The 20764-nt window shown below is 41.9% G+C and overlaps 2 protein-coding genes across 20 annotated transcripts in view, besides 1 other annotated feature; both read left to right on the top strand.

The window, feature by feature from the left end:
- ARMC2 (armadillo repeat containing 2) overlaps positions 1 to 20764 on the top strand; it is a 204619-nt gene that overhangs the window by 26257 nt on the left and 157598 nt on the right. For 18 of the 19 annotated variants that reach the window (XR_007059340.1, XR_007059341.1, XR_942600.1 and 15 more), the window contains 2 exons: positions 1465 to 1672; positions 19789 to 19865. Coding sequence is in view for 15 of the 19 variants with exons in the window: in XM_047419396.1 (XP_047275352.1) it covers positions 1465 to 1672; positions 19789 to 19865 (285 nt within the window). In the remaining 4 variants the exon portion in view is untranslated. Of the gene's footprint in view, positions 1 to 1464; positions 1673 to 19788; positions 19866 to 20764 lie in introns of those variants that run through there. The other variant, XM_047419397.1, reaches the window with a different exon arrangement.
- Positions 403 to 452: an enhancer, noted in NCBI's record as "active region_24917". NCBI's record gives its function as "activates an Ori minimal core promoter by ATAC-STARR-seq in GM12878 lymphoblastoid cells {active_cell/tissue: GM12878}" and the evidence as "EXISTENCE:reporter gene assay evidence [ECO:0000049][PMID:35858748]".
- LOC124901373 (guanine nucleotide exchange factor subunit RIC1-like) lies at positions 1679 to 4822 on the top strand. The gene has a single exon (XM_047419631.1). The coding sequence runs from the start codon at positions 3884 to 3886 to the stop codon at positions 4820 to 4822; it is 939 nt and encodes a 312-aa protein (XP_047275587.1). The 5' UTR covers positions 1679 to 3883.

Consider the following 20764-nt stretch of genomic DNA (forward strand, 5'->3'; position numbering starts at 1 on the left):
GAATTGAGCATCCACATCACAGAGTGGGTGCCCCGGGGGGCCTGCACTCGAACCCAAGTCTGAGCCAAAGCCTGTGTTCTTCCCACCCTGTGGTCCTGGCTCTCCCTGTGACCTTAGACAGGACATTTAATCTTTGGGTTCTCAATTTTCTCATCTTAAAAAAAAAAAAAAGAAGCCTAGAATCTCTAAGGTTCCTTTCAGTTTTAAAATTTAGCGTTTTGAAAGCAGGGAGTTTGGTCAGAGGGGTAGAATAGGTGGTTTTGTTATTATTAGTTTTTATTGGTTTGTTGGTTTCTTAGTAAGTACAGAAAAGGAAAGGAAACCTTGAGTCATTTTGAAAAATCTTGCAAAACAGTAAGTATTTTTCTACATGCAGCTCATCCCCACCCCCGCACACTGTATTATGGGAGATTTACTCTCTTCCCCTTTAACAAAATGTTTTCTCACAGACTACAGCCTTGTAGCAGCATGGACAATAAGCTATTCCTAATACCAATTTGCTGATAAGGGAAATGTTATATTATTATATGTCTAAGAATCTGCAGTCATGAGCAAAAAGGATATCTTCTTGCAACTCTGTCTTATACCTCTTTAGAGGTATGTTTCAATGCCCTCTCCTTTCCATTGCAGAGTAGTGTGGTCTACTAGGCTGGGCCTCCACAATCCACCCCTCACCCCTCTAATCACCTCTCCTCCTCTTTGCCTCCTTGCACACTGCATTCCTGCTATTCCTTGAGCACCCCAGGCACAGTGGGTGCTGAAGAGTCCCCCACTTCAGCCTACCTTAGAGCCTCCATACCAGCTGGTCTCTGTGCTGAAAATACTGGCCCTGGTGGCTGGATGCCTCACTCCATAAAGGGTTTGTCCTCCCTACCCTGCTGTACCCACCCTATTCCCAATCCCCTTGAGCCTTCCCTACTTTTATACTTTGCTTTTTTTCCATAGCACTTATTATCTTATAACATGTCGTATACCTTATTTATTATGGTTATTGCTTATTTTCTGTTGATTAGGTTGTAAGCCCTGTGAGATCAGAGATCTATTTTGATGCACACCAAGTACCTAGGACAGTGTTTGACATGGGGGAGCCACTCAGTAAATATTTTTTGAATGAAAAATTATGTGATCAAATTCAGGAGGAAGAGCTGCTGTTATGGGACACGGAAGTACTTATGTGGACTAGGTAGTTTATGAGCCTGAAGTTGCGTGTTTGCCTTCAAGTAGACTCTAAGCTGGTAGAGATAAGATTCTATACATTTTTACCTGCAGAATTGATGGTGCCAGACTTAAGATACTGGTCTTGTGTATGCTCAGAAAGGCTTTGGCCATAAAATTCCAGACTTAATTATAAGCAATGTATAACTTTTAAATCATATAAATTCTTAGATTGAAAAATAACATTGAAAGGTAGTGATTCCTAAAATAAGAATACTTCAACAAAATATTTTCTTGGTTATATTGCAGCAAAGAAGACAGTGGAATCCAAAGAAACAGTTATGATGGGGGACTCTATGGTGAAAATAAATGGGATTTATTTAACAAAATCAAATGCTATTTGCCACTTAAAGAGTCACCCACTTCAGCTAACTGATGATGGAGGCTTCAGTGAAATAAAGGAGCAAGAAATGTTCAAAGGAACAACATCTTTACCATCTCATCTCAAGAATGGAGGGTCAGTATTCTTTTTATTTAATTTTCTGGTCAGGATAATGGTATCATTTACCAGTTTCTTCTCTATTTTATATAGATGATTGGTTTGCTTTTTCTCTTTTATGTAAGCAAATTTTATGTTAAGGGTACATGAATAGGAGAGACTACTTCTCATGGCCAAATGGAGTTGATTTTTGTATCATTCCTTATATAATACTCAAGAACACTTTTATTCATGACTGTCAAAGTGCTGCTTCTGTAGGACTATCAGAATAAGATTTAGTTGGACTATTCCAGCCATCCCTTGAGTGATGACTGATCATTCCGTTTGTATGTTATTTGGGATTCTTGCATGGCCTGGAATCTCCTATTATCTCCCTTTGGGTTAGTTCACAGTCCTTAACTCCACAAGAGTGGACACTTATTTTATTCTTCAGTAGATCTTGGATTAAATATTTATTTTGCAAACTAATGGCTAAAACAGAAGAGTCCTGTAGATTTCAGTTATCTGTGAGATCCCTCCATTGGCCCCTCATAAATGAATGATTGGGAATTGCTTTATTTCATACCATGTTCCTAGATAGGGTTTCCTTGAGAATCAATCTTCCTACCATATTAAGGATCTGTGGAGAAATGCTTGCTGTTTGGACTGTGAATTCTTACCCTGGTATTTTACTGAAGAAACCTTGAGTATTTGGTGGCTGGAATGGGGGAAACAGTGGAGAGAACAGGCTCTGTTTTCCAGTCCCAGCCAGTAATGATGCTAAGAGAGGCAGAATGTCTTGAACTGGACAAGGTCACTCAGTTTAAGATATTTTTTTCTAGGACTTTCCATTGGGTCATCATGGATAACTGCCCGGTTCAGATTTGCTTAACAAGATTAAATTCCATGGGCCATTTTAAGATCAAGTATTTCTTACACTCACGTTAGATTTCGGGTCTGACTTTGGCTTGGACACATGTAGCATGCTTAAAACTTTTCCCCCAAGTGGCTGCTTGCCAGCTTGTTTAGCTGAACCGACCTTGTCTGCTGACACAGCCTGAAGAGTGTCACACATACGGAATTTATATTAAGCAATCTAGTAGTCCTTGTAATGTCATTTCACATTCAGAACATTTTTTTAAATTAAAGGAAAAATGAAATGTCTCCTTAAGTGGAAGAGAACGACTTCAAATTGGGACTTTGGGAGTTGAGTAGAAAACATCAAACTGGCCATTGCAGACAAATCGTTTCCAGTTGGTGAATAAGAATAGGCTGTGGACCTCAGAGCTTAAACATAAAAGGCAGCAGGAAAACTTGTGTTTCTTTCAGTACTGAAGTAAAAAGGAAACATTTATCTTGCTGCATCCATCCTTACAGTAATGAAAGTTGACTAGAAAAACCAGACAAGAGCTATTTAATTTGTTTATTTGCAAACCTTCAGATGTGGCAGAATAATCTGGAAAGCCAGAGTTCATTATGTCTTCCTCATTCTGGGACAGCAGGGGCATTTTCATTTATATATTTTATCCCACAAACAGCAAAAGACAAATCAGTTAGCACTTCTTCCTCACTGTCCAAAATTATGAGGCATTGGCAATAGCACTAATTGTTTTCTTTGTGTTTTGTTAGGACGGCTTTTGCATCATATAAGGATTGTGTCTAAGTTGGGTTTGCAATGTACCCTGGCAAGGTTAACTTTCAGTAACATTTTTTGCTTTATGAATCTTTACCTCCTTTAATCGTTGGGTGGAATTTTATTGGAGTGGTGCCAAAAAAAAGTTTACGTAGTAGGATTAAAATAAACCAAAAAACAGAAACTCTTAGCAATTCTTTCATTAATGATGTTAATGAATCAGTCTGGGACACTTGATAATTGTTTCTTGTAAACATTTAAGTGACTAATTCCAAGAAATGATCTTTGCTATGCAGTGGAGTATTCCCAGTTTTGATGGTAGAGCCCTTCCCTCAATTAACATTTTTTCATCTTTAGACCATAAAGTGGCAATTGTCAGTGAGCTGGGCTGGCAGGAGCAGGGAGGGTTGAGAAGGAGTGTGTAAGTAGACCGTGGAAAGGGGAGAGAGTGGGTGAGGCCACACTCCCAGTGTGGGGGCCTTGCAGGCTTGTCCAGTGTGACAGCGGTCACCTGTGTGGTGTGTGTTTATCTGGCTGGGAGAGGAAGGAGCATTTTGTTTCCATGAAACTGCAATAATTGTATACCCTCATTTATAATATGGATAATTCAGATATTGATGGAATATCTGAATATGGATGGAATGGAGTTCAACTTTATGCTGGTTATGGTGGAAAAAGGATTTGCTAAACAAAGTATCATTGTAAACAATGCTTTAGAGGACTATTTAACTTTACAAAAGAGAACACACTGTCAAGCACTTACGGAACTGTCATCCTCAAACCTTGTGTCAGTTATGATAGTCTCCATATGCCCATTTAGGGATTCATTTAAGGTCTGGCAGACTTGCTCCTCAGGAATACTTCACCATCACTTGCTTTGTATTACTATATGGATTGAAAGTAATGCAGCTGCCATTAACAAAATGTGTGTATTCTCCATCCATCCATCCACCCATTCACCCATCTACCTATCCAGCCATCGACATATCTACCCATACATCCACCCAGACACCCATTCATCCACCCATCCAACTGTCCATTCATCCATCCATCCACATACCCATCCACCTGTCCATCTACCCATTCACCCATCTACTCATCCACTCATCTGCCCATCCACCCACCCATCCGTCTACCTACCCACCCATCTGTCATCCACCCATCCATTCATCCATCCATCCATCCATCCGCTCATCTATATATCTACCCATCTATCCACCCATTCACCCATCCACCCACCTATCCACCTATCCATCTGTCTACCCATCCACCCATCCATATATCTCCCCATCCATCCACCCATTCACCCATCCATCCACCTGTCTACCCATCCATTCATCCATCCATCTATCCATCCATCTACCCATCCACCCATCCATATATCTACCCATCTGTCTACCCATGCAGCTAGCACCTACCCATCCACCTATCCACCCATCCATTCATCCATCCATATACCCATCTACCCATTCATCCACCCATCCACCTATCCATGCACCCATTCACCCATCCCCCATCCATCCACCCATTTATCCATTCATCCATCTATTCATTAACCTATCCACCCACCCATCTACCCATCTATCCATCCACCCACCCACCCACCCACCCACGCAGTCATCCATCTATCTATTCACCCACCTGTTCGTCCATCCATCCATCCATCCATCCATCCATGGAATCTCTTTCAAAGCAGATGAATCTCTTTACCTGCTTAAAAAATCTGTTAAGGCTTTCCATGTAAACGTTCAAACTATCATGGTTTGGAAATGGGATCTTTAGGAGGAAAGCCCAAGAACAGCCAGTTGTTATGGAGAATCAGGGACTGTTCCTGAGGAGCCAGAATCTCTGGATTTAGGTTTGGTTCTCTCTCAGCCACTTGATTTAGCTGTATTTGGCAAGTATCTTAACACTTTCAGGGGCTCAGTTTTCTAATGTATAAAATGGAAATAACTCTGCTCTTTTACTCCCATCTCCTTCTAGCCCTCACTGTAGATTGTGGAATGATGACTAAGGCTTGAAAGCCTTACTAATAAACTATCGAGTGCTCTTAGTATTGTTGGAATCAAAAATAAGAAAAGAGGGCTTCTGGTTAAAGGCACAAAGGCATTCTCCAGTAATCCAATGAAAGCAGCAAAGAATGAAAAACAGAGAAGTAAATTTCATCAATGAAACAACAACAAAAAAATGGCTACGACCCTGAACTACACAACATGAAGCAAACTTTACACTGCAGTATAGGCTTGATTTTTGTTGGTCTGTCTAGCAAACAGGCCTTCTCACATTGTGTAATAAATGCTGCTCAGTCCGTATTTGGAGAAGGGTTAGCCCTGTCTTCCCTGTGTCCCTCCCAGGGGTGGTTATGTGGCCCAGGGCTGGCTAATCAGAGTTTGCCAACCCCAGCTACAGCAGTTGATTCAGAGATGGGCACATGATCCAAGCCAGGCCAGTTGCATTCCTTCATGGGACTTTCACCAAGGCCTTTGGGGAAAGTGCTCTTTCTCCAGGTTCACAAACTATAAAGATGATGTGGTCTTGGAGCTGACAGTGGCCTTTTCACAGCCTTATGGAGAGAGATGCTGAGAGGGAAGTGGTACATAAACAAAAAGAGCAAGGAACGAAGATAATGATCAAGTTCGAGGATGACATATAAACCTCTAGATCCAGCTGTGCCTGAAGCCACCACATCAACATTGTAGAATACTGTTTTGTGAACCAATGTGTTCCTTTTTCTTTCTCCTTCCTTCCTTTCTTTTTCTTCTCTCCTTCCTTCCTTCCCCCTTCCCTCTCCCTCTTCTCCTTCCTTCCTTCCCCCTTTCCGTTCCCTTCCCTCTCCTTCCTTCCTTCCTCTCTCTTTCTTTCTTCCTGTGTTCCCTTTTCTCTTTTCTCCCTCCTTCCTTCCTTCCTTTTTTTCTCTTTTTTTTCTTTTTTTGACAGAGTCTAGCTCTATTGTCAGGATGGAGTGCAGTGGCACAATCTTGGCTCACTGCAACCTCCGCCTCCCTGGTTCAAGCGATTCTCCTGCCTCAGCCTGCCCTGTAGCTGGGATTACAGGCATGTGCCACCACGCCAAGCTAATTTTTGTATTTTTAGTAGAGATGGGGTTTCACCATGTTGGCCAGGATGGTCTTGATCTCCTGACCTTGTGATCTGCCCACCTCAGCCTCCCAAAGTACTGAGATTACAGGCGTGAGCCACCGTGGCTGGCTTGCTTTCTTTTCTTTTTCTTTTTTTTTTCTTTCTTTCTTTCTTTGTTTCTTTCTTTCCTTTCTTTTCTTTCTTTCTGTCTTTCTCTTTCTTTTTCTTTTCTTTCTTCTTTCTTTTCTTCTCTCCCTCCCCTCCCCTCCCCTCCCCTTCCTTCCTTCCTTCCTTCACTCCTTCCTTCCTTCCTTCCAACAGGGACGGTTTATGGTACTTTAGATTAGGTTTTGTTACTTGGAACATTGCATTCATAAGAATCTAGTTAACCTTCCAGGCCCTAAGAAATCTAGATTATAACAAGGGGTAATTTGAAAGTGGACACATACCTTCTCAGACCTTGAGCAAGAAACAGATTTCACTAAAAGTGAGTCTTTTAATTCAGAAAGATGTACTCAATATTTAATTAAAGATATGAGATCTAACGATGTAGGCAGGCTGCGGGAGCAGGGAGTATGCCCTGTGTAAGGACTCCATTCAAGATCCAGATCAAGAAGTGAGGGGGAAGATGGAGCTGAGGATGACACACACTCCTGGTTACATGTGAGCCAGCTAGTTTGTGTATGTGTGTGTTTTGGGGGAGGGGCTTGATACATTAGAATTTAAGGAACCCAGCATGTGAAAGGGCTTTTGTGTGCATCACAGCGACCTGCTCCACACAAACCAAGGGAACATATACTCCCAGGTCAGCAAAGGTAATGGATTTGGTGATTGCAAGTTTAAGAAAACAGACTAAAATTTAAGCTACAGAATACCTCCGTTCGCTCTCTCTATGGATCCTTATTCAGCGTTAATAAATAAATGGCTCTGTTTAAAGATAAATACTATTAAGATAGGAACCAACGTGGGACTTGAGCTTAGATATATAAGGAACATAGCAAAAAAAAGATGAAGGAAGTGGATCACAGAAGGTATTACCTTCCAAAAACATGGAAAGAGTTCAAACAATTTTCCATAGTCTCAGAGAAATTATAGATAATGTGATCATTCTCTTAAAAAAAAAAAAGAAAGGGTTCAGGCATGGTGGCTCACGCCTGTAATCCCAACACTTTGGGAGGCCGAGGCGGGCAGATCATGAGGTCAGGAGATCAAGACCATCCTGGCTAACATGGTGAAACCCTGTCTCTACTAAAAATACAAAAAAAAATTAGCTGGGCATAGTGACAGGCACCTGTAGTCCCAGCTACTCGGGAGGTTGAGGCAGGAGAATGGCGTGAACCCGGGAGGCAGAGCTTTCAGTGAGCCGAGATCATGCCACTGCACTCCAGCCTAGGCGATGGAGTGAGACTCCCTCTCAAAAAAAAAAAAAAAGGAAAAAAGCACTGTTCTTTGGGTTATAAGAATTTAAATGAGAGATTCTAAGCCCATATAAGGAGATGAAAAATAAGCTTACAGTACGCAAAAAAGAAATGAAAGAAAAATGTATCAAGAGGAAAGCTACATTAGGAATAAAAAATTAGAATAAAACAGGTGAAAATACAGTAGGACATGGTGGACAGGCTAGAAGAAATCTTACAAAAAGAAATGAATAATAAAGCTATGAAAATGATTATTGAGATAGATATGGAAGAATGAAACTTGTTTTCCTGAAGAAGATAATTATCTTCCTTCACTTCCTCTGCTAACGCTGTCTTACTGTGAATTGTCAGACACTTTTCTAAGTCCTTTGCGTATATTAAGTCATTTAATATTCACAACAACTCATGAAGAATGGAAGAGATCAGAGCAGAAAGAAGAAAAATATTAAGACATAACAGAAGAAAACTTTCTGAAACAAATACTTAAATCTGAAGCTCAAATGGACACATGGTATTCCAAGAAAAATTTGATATGGAATAATCCATACTAAGACATTTCCACCAGTGCTCAGCACTAGAACACTACCCAGTACATAGTACGCACTCAGTGAATAATTGTTGATTGGGCGGGCAAATGGAAGAAAGTTTCATATGGCTCTCCCGGCTGAATGAACAAGTCACATAAAAGGAGAAGAAGACAGGCTGGCTTCTGGTTTTCTTAAAGAATCACTCAGTGCCAGAAGGCAGTAATGTCTATGAAGTCCTAAGTGTAATAAGGGGTAACTGAAGAATTGTATTGCCAGTCCAGTTGTACAGAAGCAACAGATAGACACTTTCAATATGAATGAACTGAGGGAATATACTACTCATGCACTTTCCAGAAAACCTGTAGACAACAAAATGATGAGTCAAAATTCAAAACCTAGAAATGAAGAAGCTATGGTAAAAGCATTCATGGTGAGTACAGTAATGATTTTGTTTTCGTATTGGATTAAAACTAAACAACTCTGCTTATGGAACAGAAACCTTGACAATGTGGTAGTAATATAAATAACCAAAACCAGTACTTGGGAGGAAGTGTGAGTACTGATTTCTTTACTTTCATAATGGGGAATAGATTTGTCAGTAGCTAAAGTCTGAAATTGCAATATATAGTTGAAAAAATAATGATTTCAGCATCCTAATGTTTTTCATTACTTTTTTCTTAACTTTAGAGAGATCTTTTAGAAACTATTCTCTCTTTGTGAAGACCCATTCATCTGAAGTTCTACAATTCCTTCAGTTTCACCTCAATTTCTGTTTCTTTGTTAAGTTCAAGCAAAGTTTATACTTAATGCTTTTTCACTACAATAACATGTATGGTATGATTCCATTTATATGTATCCATTTACCTGCCCTCCCTCCTGCCCTTCTGTTCTTTCATTCTTCTATCTTTTCCTCTGAACATCTGCAGAAATATGTCTGGAATGATGTTGACCACATATTATGATGTTTATTTCTGGGTGGTGGGATCCTGGATAATTTTTTTAAAATCTTCTTTGTACTTTATTATATTGCCTGGCTTTTAAAAAATAATAAATATATCATTTTTTCAAAAACAATGAAGTCATTATTCTTTTAAGATTTTAAGAGCAATGTGGCTGAGAAACTTTCCATTTGGAAAAGACAAAGACATTGGCCTGATTTTGTAGAGACCCTCCTTTCTGTCCGATAAGCGTTTCCTGGTAAGCAATGCCCTGTGCTGAGGGGTTGAGAGATAGAAGAGTGGACCCTGTCCATGAAGAGCTTACCAGCGTGTCAGGCCTTGCTTCTCAAGTATGGTCCCTGGACCAGCAGCATCAGCATCCCCTGGGAGCCTGTTAGAAATGTAAGTCCCCAGACTTACCAAATTAGAATCTGCATTTTTATAAGATCTCCAAGTGCTTTGAATGCACACACAAGGTCTAGAAGCACTGTTCAAAGATGAACTCAAATGCTGGAGGAAAGAAAGGGGAACTGAAAGAAGGTATACTGAAAATTTAGAGGTCAGAGCAGCTAATTCTGACTTGAGGATCAAGGGAAAATTCCTAGAGTAGTTGGGATTTGGGGGTGCATTTTGAAGGTTGATTTTCGTGAGGGATGGAGCACTGTGTTCTTGGCTAAAGGAGGAGCATAAGCCAGAAGTGGGATTTGACGTGGCAGTGGCAGGAGGCATCCTGAGGCTGCAAGCCATAGCGCTGAGCAGCATGTCTGGAAGGGAAGTTAGGGACACATGACAGATGGCCTTCAATGCTACTCCCAGGTATGTGGGTCCATTGTTTAAATAAAGGTGCACCACTGAGAGGTGACTTTCGCTGTCAGTTATGTGAAGGACGAATGGGGAGAGGAGAGCCTGGGACAAAGGAAGCCATTGGGAAGCTGTTGTAGCAGTTCTGGCGTAAGGTGTGAAGGGAGCACGGCACCAGGGCATTCAGAATGGAAAGCAGAGATGGAACCCTGCATGGCACTGGTTAACACAGTAGCATGCTGCAGAAGAGGCCAGTCACAGCCACTGCTCCCTGTACTGAACGAAATCCTCACAGGTACAGCACTGACAAGTTACAAGGGCTTTTCACATGCAGTACCTTGAAACTGTGGGGCTTTGAATGTTAAGGGGAGTATGAAACCATGAGCCTTTAAGCTAAGGGAATTTAAGGTTAACTAAGTTAAGCTAACATGGATAGCTACAAAGCAATATATCTAATCGTGTATATATATATAGAACTTTAATAATAACCAGTTAGTGATTATTAAAAAAGGTGCCAAGGGGTGTGTGTGTGTGTGTGTGTGTGTATGTATTTTAGTCTTGTGCCCAAGCCAACACTATTAAGTACCTTGGAGGACTTTCTTAAAATTTTGATCTTACAGACATCCCTTTAAAACCATGTCCTTTAATTTCAAGTGTTTGTGTATAGCTGTTTAAGTAGAATGCTTTAAGTTTAGTAATTAAGAAAAAGTGATAATCTGGCTGGACACGGTAACTCACACCTGTGATCTCAGCACTTTGGGAGGCCGAGGTCAGGAATTCAAGACCAGCATGCCCAACATGGTGAAATCACATTTCTACCAAAAATACAAAAAATTAGCCAGGTGTAGTCCCGGCTACTTGGGAGGCTGGGGCAGGAGAATCGCTTGAACCCAGGAGGCAGAGGTTGCAGTAAGCTGAGATTGCACCCCTGCACTCCAGCCTGGGTGACAGAGTGAGACTCTGTCGCAAAAAAAAAAAGAAAAGAAAAGAAAAGAAAAAGTGATAATCTGTCTGGAAACTGTATATCTAGTGCTTTAGGCTATGAAACATGCTGAGGGGACCCTCCCTCCATTGTCCACCCCTCTGTTGGCATTACCAAATTGCAGTCGAAGTATGGAAGAGACTATAAAGCAGGATCAGCAAACTAAGGCCCATGAGCTAAATCCAGCCCATTGCCTGTTTTTGTAAATAAACTGTATTGGAACACAGCCACACTCATCTTTTACCTATTGTCCATGGCCATCTTCACACTGCAGCAAGAATTGAGTACTTATGACAGAAACTGTGTGGCCACAAAGCCTAAAACATTTACTACCTGCCTTGATCCTACACAACTTGAATCTAGTTTGAAAAACGAAGTGTCTTTTTCTTATGGCAAGGATAAGTTTAGTTCAAAAGTTGCTAAATTTTCTCTTATCCATAAGCATCCTTTACAATTTCCTTACGTCATTTTTTCCAAAATGGAAATAAATTTATTGACTTTTTAAACATTCCAAATCCTTCTGTTTAATCTACTTCTTAATATTTGTTTAGTTATTCCTCCAAAGTAGGAATAAACAAACTACAGCCAGCCAGGTCCGGTGGCTCACGCCTGTAATCCCAGCACTTTGGGAGGCCAAGGTGGGCGAATCACCTGTGGTTGGGAGTTCGAGACCCGCTTGTCCAACATGGTGAAACCCCATCTCTACTAAAAATCCAAAAATTAGCCGGGTGTGGTGGCTAATTACAGGCACATGCCTGTAATCCCAACTACTTTTGGGAGGCTGTGGGAGGAGAATCACTTGAGCCTGGGAGGTGGAGGTTGCAGTGAGCAGAGATCACACCACTGCACTCCAGCCTGGGCGACAGAGCGATACTCGTCTCACAAACAAACAAACAAACAATATAACTACAGCCCAGGAGCCAAATCTGGCCATCCATCTGGTTTTTGTTTGTTTTGTTTTTCTTTTTTACAGCCCTTGAGCTAATAATGGTTTATACACTTTTTTAAATCATTACATTTTAAATGGTTACAAATGTAACCATGTAGTACCTGGATTTTCCCACTTGGCCCACAAAGTGTGCAATATATATTATCTAGCTCTTTAGGGAAAAAGCTTGCTGACCTCTGACTAAAGAACCTTAGTCATAATAATTAGAAGAACTGTCAGAATTATAGCAAAGTCTGAATTTTATAGTTTTTTTTTTGTTTGTTTGTTTTGTTTTTTTTTTTGAGACAGAGCCTCACTCTGTTGCCCAGGCTAGAGTGCAGTGGTGTGTGGTGTGATCTTGGCTCACTGCAACCTCCGCCTCCCAGGTTCAAGCAATTCTCTTGCCTCAACCTCCCGAGTAGCTGGGATTATAGGTACACGCCACCACCCCCAGCTAATTTTTGTATTTTTAGTAGAGATGTGGTTTTGCCATGTTGGCCAGGCTGGCTGGTCTTGAACTCCTGACCTCAAGTGATCTGCCTTCCTAAGCCTCCCAAAGTGCTGTGGTTACAGATGTGAGCCACCATGCCTGGCTAATTTTATAGTATTTTTAAAGAAATATACTTGTATTTCTTTGGGGTGCATGTGGTCCAAAAGTAGATATTGTCCACATGATTGACTCATGGATGGGCAGTGGTAACTCAAGTCAGTCCGTGTGTAGCAGTGCCATAGCCACAGATTGGTTCTGGCTGTTCAGAGTGAAATGTAGGACCCTCCTCACTGATTGCAAGAGAAGACTTTGCTTTTGCTCTTAAACATGTGGGCTGAGGAGAGGCCTGGGAATGCCAGACCCATTTTGCTTTAATCAGAACTCCAACCTGGTTACAGCTGGAACTGAGGGAAGGGCAGAGCTGAGAGAATCGCAGAAAGATGCCGCCAAAGGCCTGATTGCACCATGCCTAAAACCCACCCTACCTGTCCACATTCAGGTTATGTGAGTCAATAAATTGCATTTATTGTTTAAATCCATTGAAATTAGGTTTTTGTTATTTGTCGATCAAGATATCATAAAGAACAAAACAGTGCCAATCTGCCTGTACGAAGAATTTCACAGAGGAGCTTTAAGAAATAACTTCTGAAATTATTTTTGGTACATGAAAAATCATTGCAAAAAATTTAATTACAGTCTTTAATAATATGGAACAGGAAACTAGGAAGAACAATTTTGCTGGATGACTGAATCAAGATCCAAAAACATCTGATAGGCAGGAATGCTTTGCCAAATGCGGCACTGTGGAATTTAGGAAGAACAAGCAAAGGCCCAACCTGGATGGGAAAATCTGCCTTAGTGAACATGCAGGAAAAGATTAGAGACACCCACCACTGTGACGTGACCACCAAACCGCTAATGTCATTTTAGGCTGCAGCGTTACGTAGAACATCTCCTCTCTGTCCTCAAGCCATACTACCTTTGGCTGAGTGCTGGGTTCCAGACTTTAAAAGGGATCCAGACAAGCGAACACTCACTTTGAGTAACTGATTGTCCTGGAAGAGATTTGAAACCGCATCATGTGAGGAACAGTAGAAGGGACTGGAGGAGTTTGCTGATGACATCAGTGATGACCACAGCCATAATAGTAAACATGTATTAGTTACCATGTGCCTGGAACTGTGCCAAGCAATCGCACATCCTATCATTTAGTCCTCACAACAGTCTCACATTGGGGGATAGTGTTATTTACCACACCTTTCTACAGATGAGGAAACCAAAACTTACCCGAGGTCACACGGCTGTAAGTGGTCGGACCATGGGATTTAAACCATAGGAGATGACTTTATGTGGGGAATGCAACATCTTTAAATATGTGCAGGATTATCAAGGAGAAAAAGAATAAAGATTTGTTTCATGCAGTTCCAATTAGTAGAACGAAGACCAATGAGCAGAATTTACAGAGAAACAGATTTCTTTTGAGTACATAAGTCCATCTATTCTTCCTTTTCTCCTTAACGGAGTGATTTTCTTTTCTTGATGCCTCTCTTCCCCATTCAGTCTTACTGTGGGACTTCAGCTCTATGGCTGTGTGGAAACCCTGGTAGGCTTCCCCTGCTATCCTATTCCTCCATGGCTACATTCTGTTATTTCCTCTGCCTGAAATCCTGTCAACCCTTGACTTACGGAACCTCTTGAATGTGTTCCTTCTTCTCCAATTCCACTGTCACCCTCAGATTAGTCCTTGTTCCTTCTCTCCAAGTCTCCTAAATACTCTTGACATTGCACACCCCCAAATCGCATCACTTCCTTGTATAAGAACCCATGACAGTTCCTTATTGCCTGTCAAATCAGATTCATTTACTCAGCCCATAGTGTGGGTTGAGTAAACCCATGGAAACCTTCTATGACTGTCTTACTTGCCCTGGGCACTTATCCCCTGCCCTCAGTATCAGTCTGCTTATGCCTGTCTTTATTTTCACTCATGCTATTCCCCTTCTGAGAGTAGTGTTGTCATTTGCTGGTTTAACTTTTATTCTTTTATTATTATTATTTTTTGAGGCAGAGTCTTGCTCTTTCACCCAGGCTGGAGTGAAGTGTGCAATCTCGGCTCATTGCAACTTCTGCCCCCTGGGTTCAAGCGATTCTCCTGCCTCAGCCTCCTGAGTAGCTGGAATTACAGGCGCCCGCCACCATGCCTGGCTAATTTTTGTATTTTTAGTAGAGATGGAGTTTCACCATATTGGCCAGACTGGTCTCGAACTCCTGACCTCAGGCGATCCGCCTGCCTCGGCCTCCCAAAGTGCTGGGATTACAGGTGTGACCCACTGCGCCCTGCCTGTTATTATTTTTGAGACAGGGTCTCACTCTGTCACCCAAGCTGGAATGCAATGGCACAATCACAGCTCACTGCAGCCTCGACCTTCTGGGCTCAAGCGATCCTCCTGCCTCAGCCTCCAAAGTGGCCGGGACTACAGGTGTGTGCCACCATGCTAGATAGTTTTAAAATTTTTTTTAGAGGGAAAGTCTTGCCATATTGCCCAGGCTGGTCTTGAACTCCTTGAACTCCTAGGTGCAAGTGATCGTCTCACCTAGGCCTCCCAAAGTGGTGGCATTACAGTCGTGAGCCACCATGCCGGCCAACTTTTATTCTTTTAAGGCCCATTTTGTAGTCCACTTCTCCCACTCACTAATCACTTCCTTCTTAGCACCCTCTAGTTCTTACAATCTGTTGAATTTCACATTCTAGTACTTTATTAACAACTCTATTGGACTTTTCCATTAAAAAACAGTGGTTCCGGGCCGGGCGCGGTGGCTCACGCCTGTAATCCCAGCACTTTGGGAGGCCGAGGCGGGCGGATCACGAGGTCAGGAGATCGAGACCATCCCGGCTAAAACGGTGAAACCCCGTCTCTACTAAAAATACAAAAAAAATTAGCCGGGCGTAGTGGCGGGCGCCTGTAGTCCCAGCTACTTGGGAGGCTGAGGCAGGAGAATGGCGTGAACCCGGGAGGCGGAGCTTGCAGTGAGCCGAGATCCCGCCACTGCACTCCAGCCTGGGTGACAGAGCGAGACTCCGTCTCAAAAAAAAAAAAAAAAAAAAAAAAAAAAAAAAAAAAAAAACAGTGGTTTCTTAGTTCCTCAGAGTAGATTTTAAACTTCATCAGGGCAATGCCATGCACATTCTTTAGCTCAATAAGATTTGACTCTGGACTGCTTAGACAAGTGATTACTGACTCATAAGGAAAGAGAAAATTAATCTGTTTATTAAGTTCTTCCAGTGTCAGTCAGTGTACTAAGCAGAGTCATTGCATTCAATTTAAGATGAGGAAACCAGGCTCAGCGCAGTGGCTCACACCTGTAATCCTAGCAATTTGGGAGGCCGAGATGGGAGGATTGCTTGAGGCCAGGAATTTTAGACCAGCCTGGTCAACATAGCAAGCTCCCCATCTCTATTTAAAAAAAAAAATTAATGATGAGGAAACCAAAGCTAAGTAGTTCACCCAAGATCACAATGCTGATAAAAGTTAGACCCAGGACCCAAACTCAGGCAGCTTGGCTTCAGAACCTACATATACCCACCACAACGTAAGGATCACGTAGAACAGCACTTAATACCAGTCCTGTGCTCTTTTTTTATTTCTAACATTATTGTTACTTTTTTAAAATTATATTTTAAGTTCTGGGATGCATGTGCAGAAAGTGCAGTTTCATAGGTATACATGTGCCATGGTGGTTTGCTGCACCCATCAGCCCATCGTCTACATTAGGTATTTCTCCTAATGCTATCCCTCCCCTAGCCCCCCACCCCCCGACAGGCCCCAGTGTGTGATGTGCCCCTCTCTGTGTTCATGTGTTCTCATTGTTCAACTCCCACTTATGAGTGAGAACATGCAGTGTTTGGTTTTCTGTTCTTGTGTTTGCTGAGAATGATGGTTTCCAGCTTCATCCATGTCACTGCAAAGTACACGAACTCATCCTTTTTTATGGCCGCATACTATTCCATGGTGTATATGTGCCACATTTTCTTTATTCAGCCTATCATTGATGGACATTTGGGTTGGTTCCAAGTTTTTGCTATTGTGAACAGTGCTGCAATATGCATACGTGTGCATGTGTCATTATAGTAGAATGATTTATAATCCTTTGGGTATATACCCAGTAATGGGATCGCTGGGTCAAATGGTATTTCTGGTTCTAGATCCTTGAGGAATTGCCACACTGTCTTCCACAATGGTTGAACTAATTTACACTCCCACCAACAGTGTAAAAGCATTCCTATTTCTCCACATCCTCTCCAGCATTTACTGTTTCCTGACTTTTTAATGATTGCCATTCTACCTGGAGTGAGATGATATCTCATTGTGGTTTTGATTTGCATTTCTCTAATGACCAGTGATGATGAGCTTTTTAAAATATATTTGTTGGCCGCATAAATGTCTTCTTTTGAGAAGTGTCTGTTCATATCCTTCATCCACTTTTTGATGGAATTTTTTTTTCTTGTAAATTTGTTTAGTTCTTTGTAGATTCTGGATATTAGCCCTTTGTCAGATGGATAGACTGCAAACATTTTCTCCTATTCTGTAGGTTGCTTGTTCACTCTGATGATAGTTTCTTTTGCTGTGCAGAAGCTCTTTAGTTTAATTAGATCCCATTTGTCAATTTTGGCTTTTGTTGCCATTGCTTTTGTTGTTTTAGTCATGAAGTCTTTGCCCATGCCTATGTCCTGAATGGTATTGCCTAGGTTTTCTTCTAGGGTTTTTATGGTTTTAGGTCTTATGTTTAAGTCTTTAATCCATCTTGAGTTAATTAGTTCTGTGCTCTGCTTGAGAACTGGGAGACCCAGCACTGCTAAGCATTTGCATATAAGAAGGACACTTCATTTTTTCCCCTAGAAGTGGGGATACATGCGTGTGGTATTTATGTAGGCAACCTCATCACTGACCATGACTTGAGGGAGAGTGGACCAGTGACTTTGGAAGCCCATTAGTTGAAAAGTATCTTGCTTGATTTTAATAGTTGTGTAGGGCAGGTGTATGTATTGAAAGCAAGGCCTTGTCCCTAGTCTCAAACCTTCTTGTTATTTCTAGGAGTGATAAATATGAGAACTTCCTTGGCTCCACACCCTGACAAACTTGGTATTTTACCTTTTTGCAAGGTTGATTCTTTTATTTCTGCCTTCTTTGAGAGGTCCCTGTCCCCGTAGCCATTTTCGATTGGCTAGTGACATTTGCTATCGTATTTTTATTATGTACAAATAAAGCAGTTATTTCTGAATATTAATTAGACAATTTTTGGAAAATTGACTTCATCTTTTTCCTATTTTATGATTAAAGGAAGTGTTAAGTGTTTAAAAAAAAAATGGGGTGGCTGGTGGGCGCCATGGCTCACACCTGTTATCCCAGCATTTTGGGAGGCCGAGGCAGGCGGATCACCTGAGGTTGGGAGTTTGAGACCAGCCTGACCAACATGGAGAAACCCCATCTCTACTAAAAATACAAAATTAGCCAGGCATGGTGGCACACGCCTGTAATCCCAGCTACTCGGGAGGCTGAGGCAGGAGAATCCCTTGGACCTGGGAGGCGGAAGTTGGGGTGAGCCGAGATCACGCCATTGCACTCCAGCCTGGGCAACAAGAGTGAAACTCCATCTCAAAAAAAAAAAAAAAAAAGGTGGGGGGAACATGTTAATGAAGTAAAAAATGGTATTTGGAGAAGCTAATCTTCAGGGCGGTAGGAAAGGCCAAGGGCTAAGCTGCAACATGGCATAGTCACTGGGGGGCTCACTACACAGGAAGGAGAAGCCACGGGCACATACAGATGTTCACAGGGACTATCACATGTATAAGCCTTCTTTGTGAGTTTTTTGGAGCAACTATTATATTTGATGGACAAAAAGAAATTTTGATATAAAACTTGCACTCTTCTTTTCCTGGTGTTTTTTTACCTTGGAATTTTGTGCACATATTTAAAAGTAAGTACTTCTAAGTGTCAGCTCTGGCTAAAGAGAAGCTGTATCCTTCAGAGATGTTCTCTACATTAAATAAAACTTTTTAAAAACCTGAGCATGTAATCCTGCTGTTGGCCAGCCACTGCTCTTTTATTTGGAATACAAAATATTTATCATCTGGGGACTGTCCAAATTTATTTTCAGTTTTTTAATGTTTAAAATATTTCTAAAAATAAATATTGTCAGAGAATATTAATTTAATTTTAAAAATGGAATCAGGGCACATTTTTATGTAGTGGAAAGAGAAGCAAATTTGTAAATTATGAGACCTAAGTTCCAAATCTGTCTTTACTGTGTGACCTTGGGCACATCTGGCCAGCTGGGACAGTTTCTTTATCTGCAGGGATCGGGGAAGGGAGGAAGAGAGAAAAAGAGACAGAGGTCTTTCCCAGCTCCCAAAGGCTAAGCTTTTGTAATCCAAGCATCCCAGAGTTCTTTCTTATTGTAACAGTGACCCCTTGTGGTATATATCCTTAACCAATTTTGTTTTGATTTGCAAAGTAAACTGGATTTTTTGTTCTTTCTAGTAACTGTATTTCATGTTGTTAGGCAAATATGACTTGTTTTAAAAAGATAAATCTTACCGGGAAATCAAAGGTAAATTAAAGCAGCATATAGAGGCCAGGGGTGGTGGCCCATGCCTGTAATCCCAGCACTTTGGGAGGCTGAGGCGGGCAGATCGCCTGAGGTCAGGAGTTTGAGAACAGCCTGGCCAACATGGCGAAACCCCCGTCTCTACTAAAAATACAAAAATTATCCGGGCATGGTGGCATGTGCCTGTAATCCCAGCTACTGGGGAGGCTCAGGCAGGTTGCAGTGAGCTGAGATCGCACCACTGCACTCTAGCCTGAGCAACAGGGCAAGACTTCGTCTCAAAAACACAAAAACAAAAACAAAAAAAACCCACATATAGAGCACCAAACCCCATCTTTTAAACAATTCTCGATGGTTTCTTCAGAAACTGTATATCGGCTGGACACAGTGGCTCACTCCTATAATACTAGCATTTTGGGAGGCTGAGGCAGGAGGATCACTTGAGACCAGGAATCACCAGCCTGGACAACATAGTGAGACCCTGTCTCTACAAAATATTTTTTAAAAATAACCAGGCATAGTGGCATGTGCCTGTAGTTCTGGCTACTCGGGAGCCTGGGGTGGGAGGCTCACTTGTGCCAAGGAGTTTGAGGCTGCAGTGAGCTATGATCACAGCACCACTGTTCTCTAGCCTGGATGACAGAGTGAGACCTATCTCAAAATAATAAATAAGAAACTGTATATAGCAGACTCTTGTCATTTACAAAATTAGAAGTGTTTTCATGTTTGCGCTGAGTGTTTTATGTATTCCTCCTAGGGACCAGGGGAAGAGACATGCGAGGGCCTCATCATGCCCCAGTAGCTCAGACCTGAGCAGGCTGCAAACCAAAGCAGGTGAGGGGTCCCCACACTCCTTCATCTACAGCATCTCCACTTGAAGGAAAGATGTTTGCACTGAAGATATCTATGTTGGCCACTGGAAACTTAAGGAAGTTTGTCCAATTTGGTCACAAATCAACATTTATTTTTATACATTTTTATTATATTCATACAATGTTACCATCTTACCACTACCCAACTCTGATGCCTCAAACATCTATAGATGACAGTCTTTTTTTTTTTTTTTTTTTTTTTTGAGATGGAGTCTTGCTCTGTCGCCCAGGCTGGAGTGCAGTGGTGCAATCTCGGCTCACTGCAAGCTCCACCTCCCAGGTTCATGCCATTCTCCTGCCTCAGCCTCCTGAGTAGCTGGGACTACAGGCGCCCGCCACCACGCCTGGCTAATTTTTTGTATTTTTAGTAGAGACGAGCTTTCATTGTTTTAGCCAGGATGGTCTCAATCTCCTGACCTCGTGATCCGCCTGCCTCAGCCTTCCAAAGTGCTGGGATTACAGGGGTGAGCCACCACGCCCGGCCTAGATGACAGTCTTAATGGTTTTATAGAAATCATTTTGTAAAAGCATTTGGAAAGTTGCAAAACTTGACATTAACATAGTTCTTGGGTTCAAAGCTTGAGTTCAAGGCATTGCTTGGCTGGGCATGGTGGCTCACGCCTGTAATCCCAGCACTTTGGGAGACTGAGGCAGGCGGATCACTTGAGGTCAGGAGTTCAAGACCAGCCTGGCCAACATCATGAAACCCCATCTCTACCAAAAAAAAATAATAATAATACAAAAATTAGCTACGCATGGTGGGAGGGAGTGGGGCACCTGTAATCCCAACTACTTGGGAGGCTGAGGCAGCAGAATCACTTGAACCCAGGAGATGGAGTTTGCAGTGAGTCTAGACCACGC

The sequence above is a fragment of the Homo sapiens genome, chromosome 6 (genome assembly GCF_000001405.40).
Source record: "Homo sapiens chromosome 6, GRCh38.p14 Primary Assembly".
NCBI classification, from domain to species: Eukaryota; Metazoa; Chordata; class Mammalia; order Primates; family Hominidae; genus Homo; species Homo sapiens.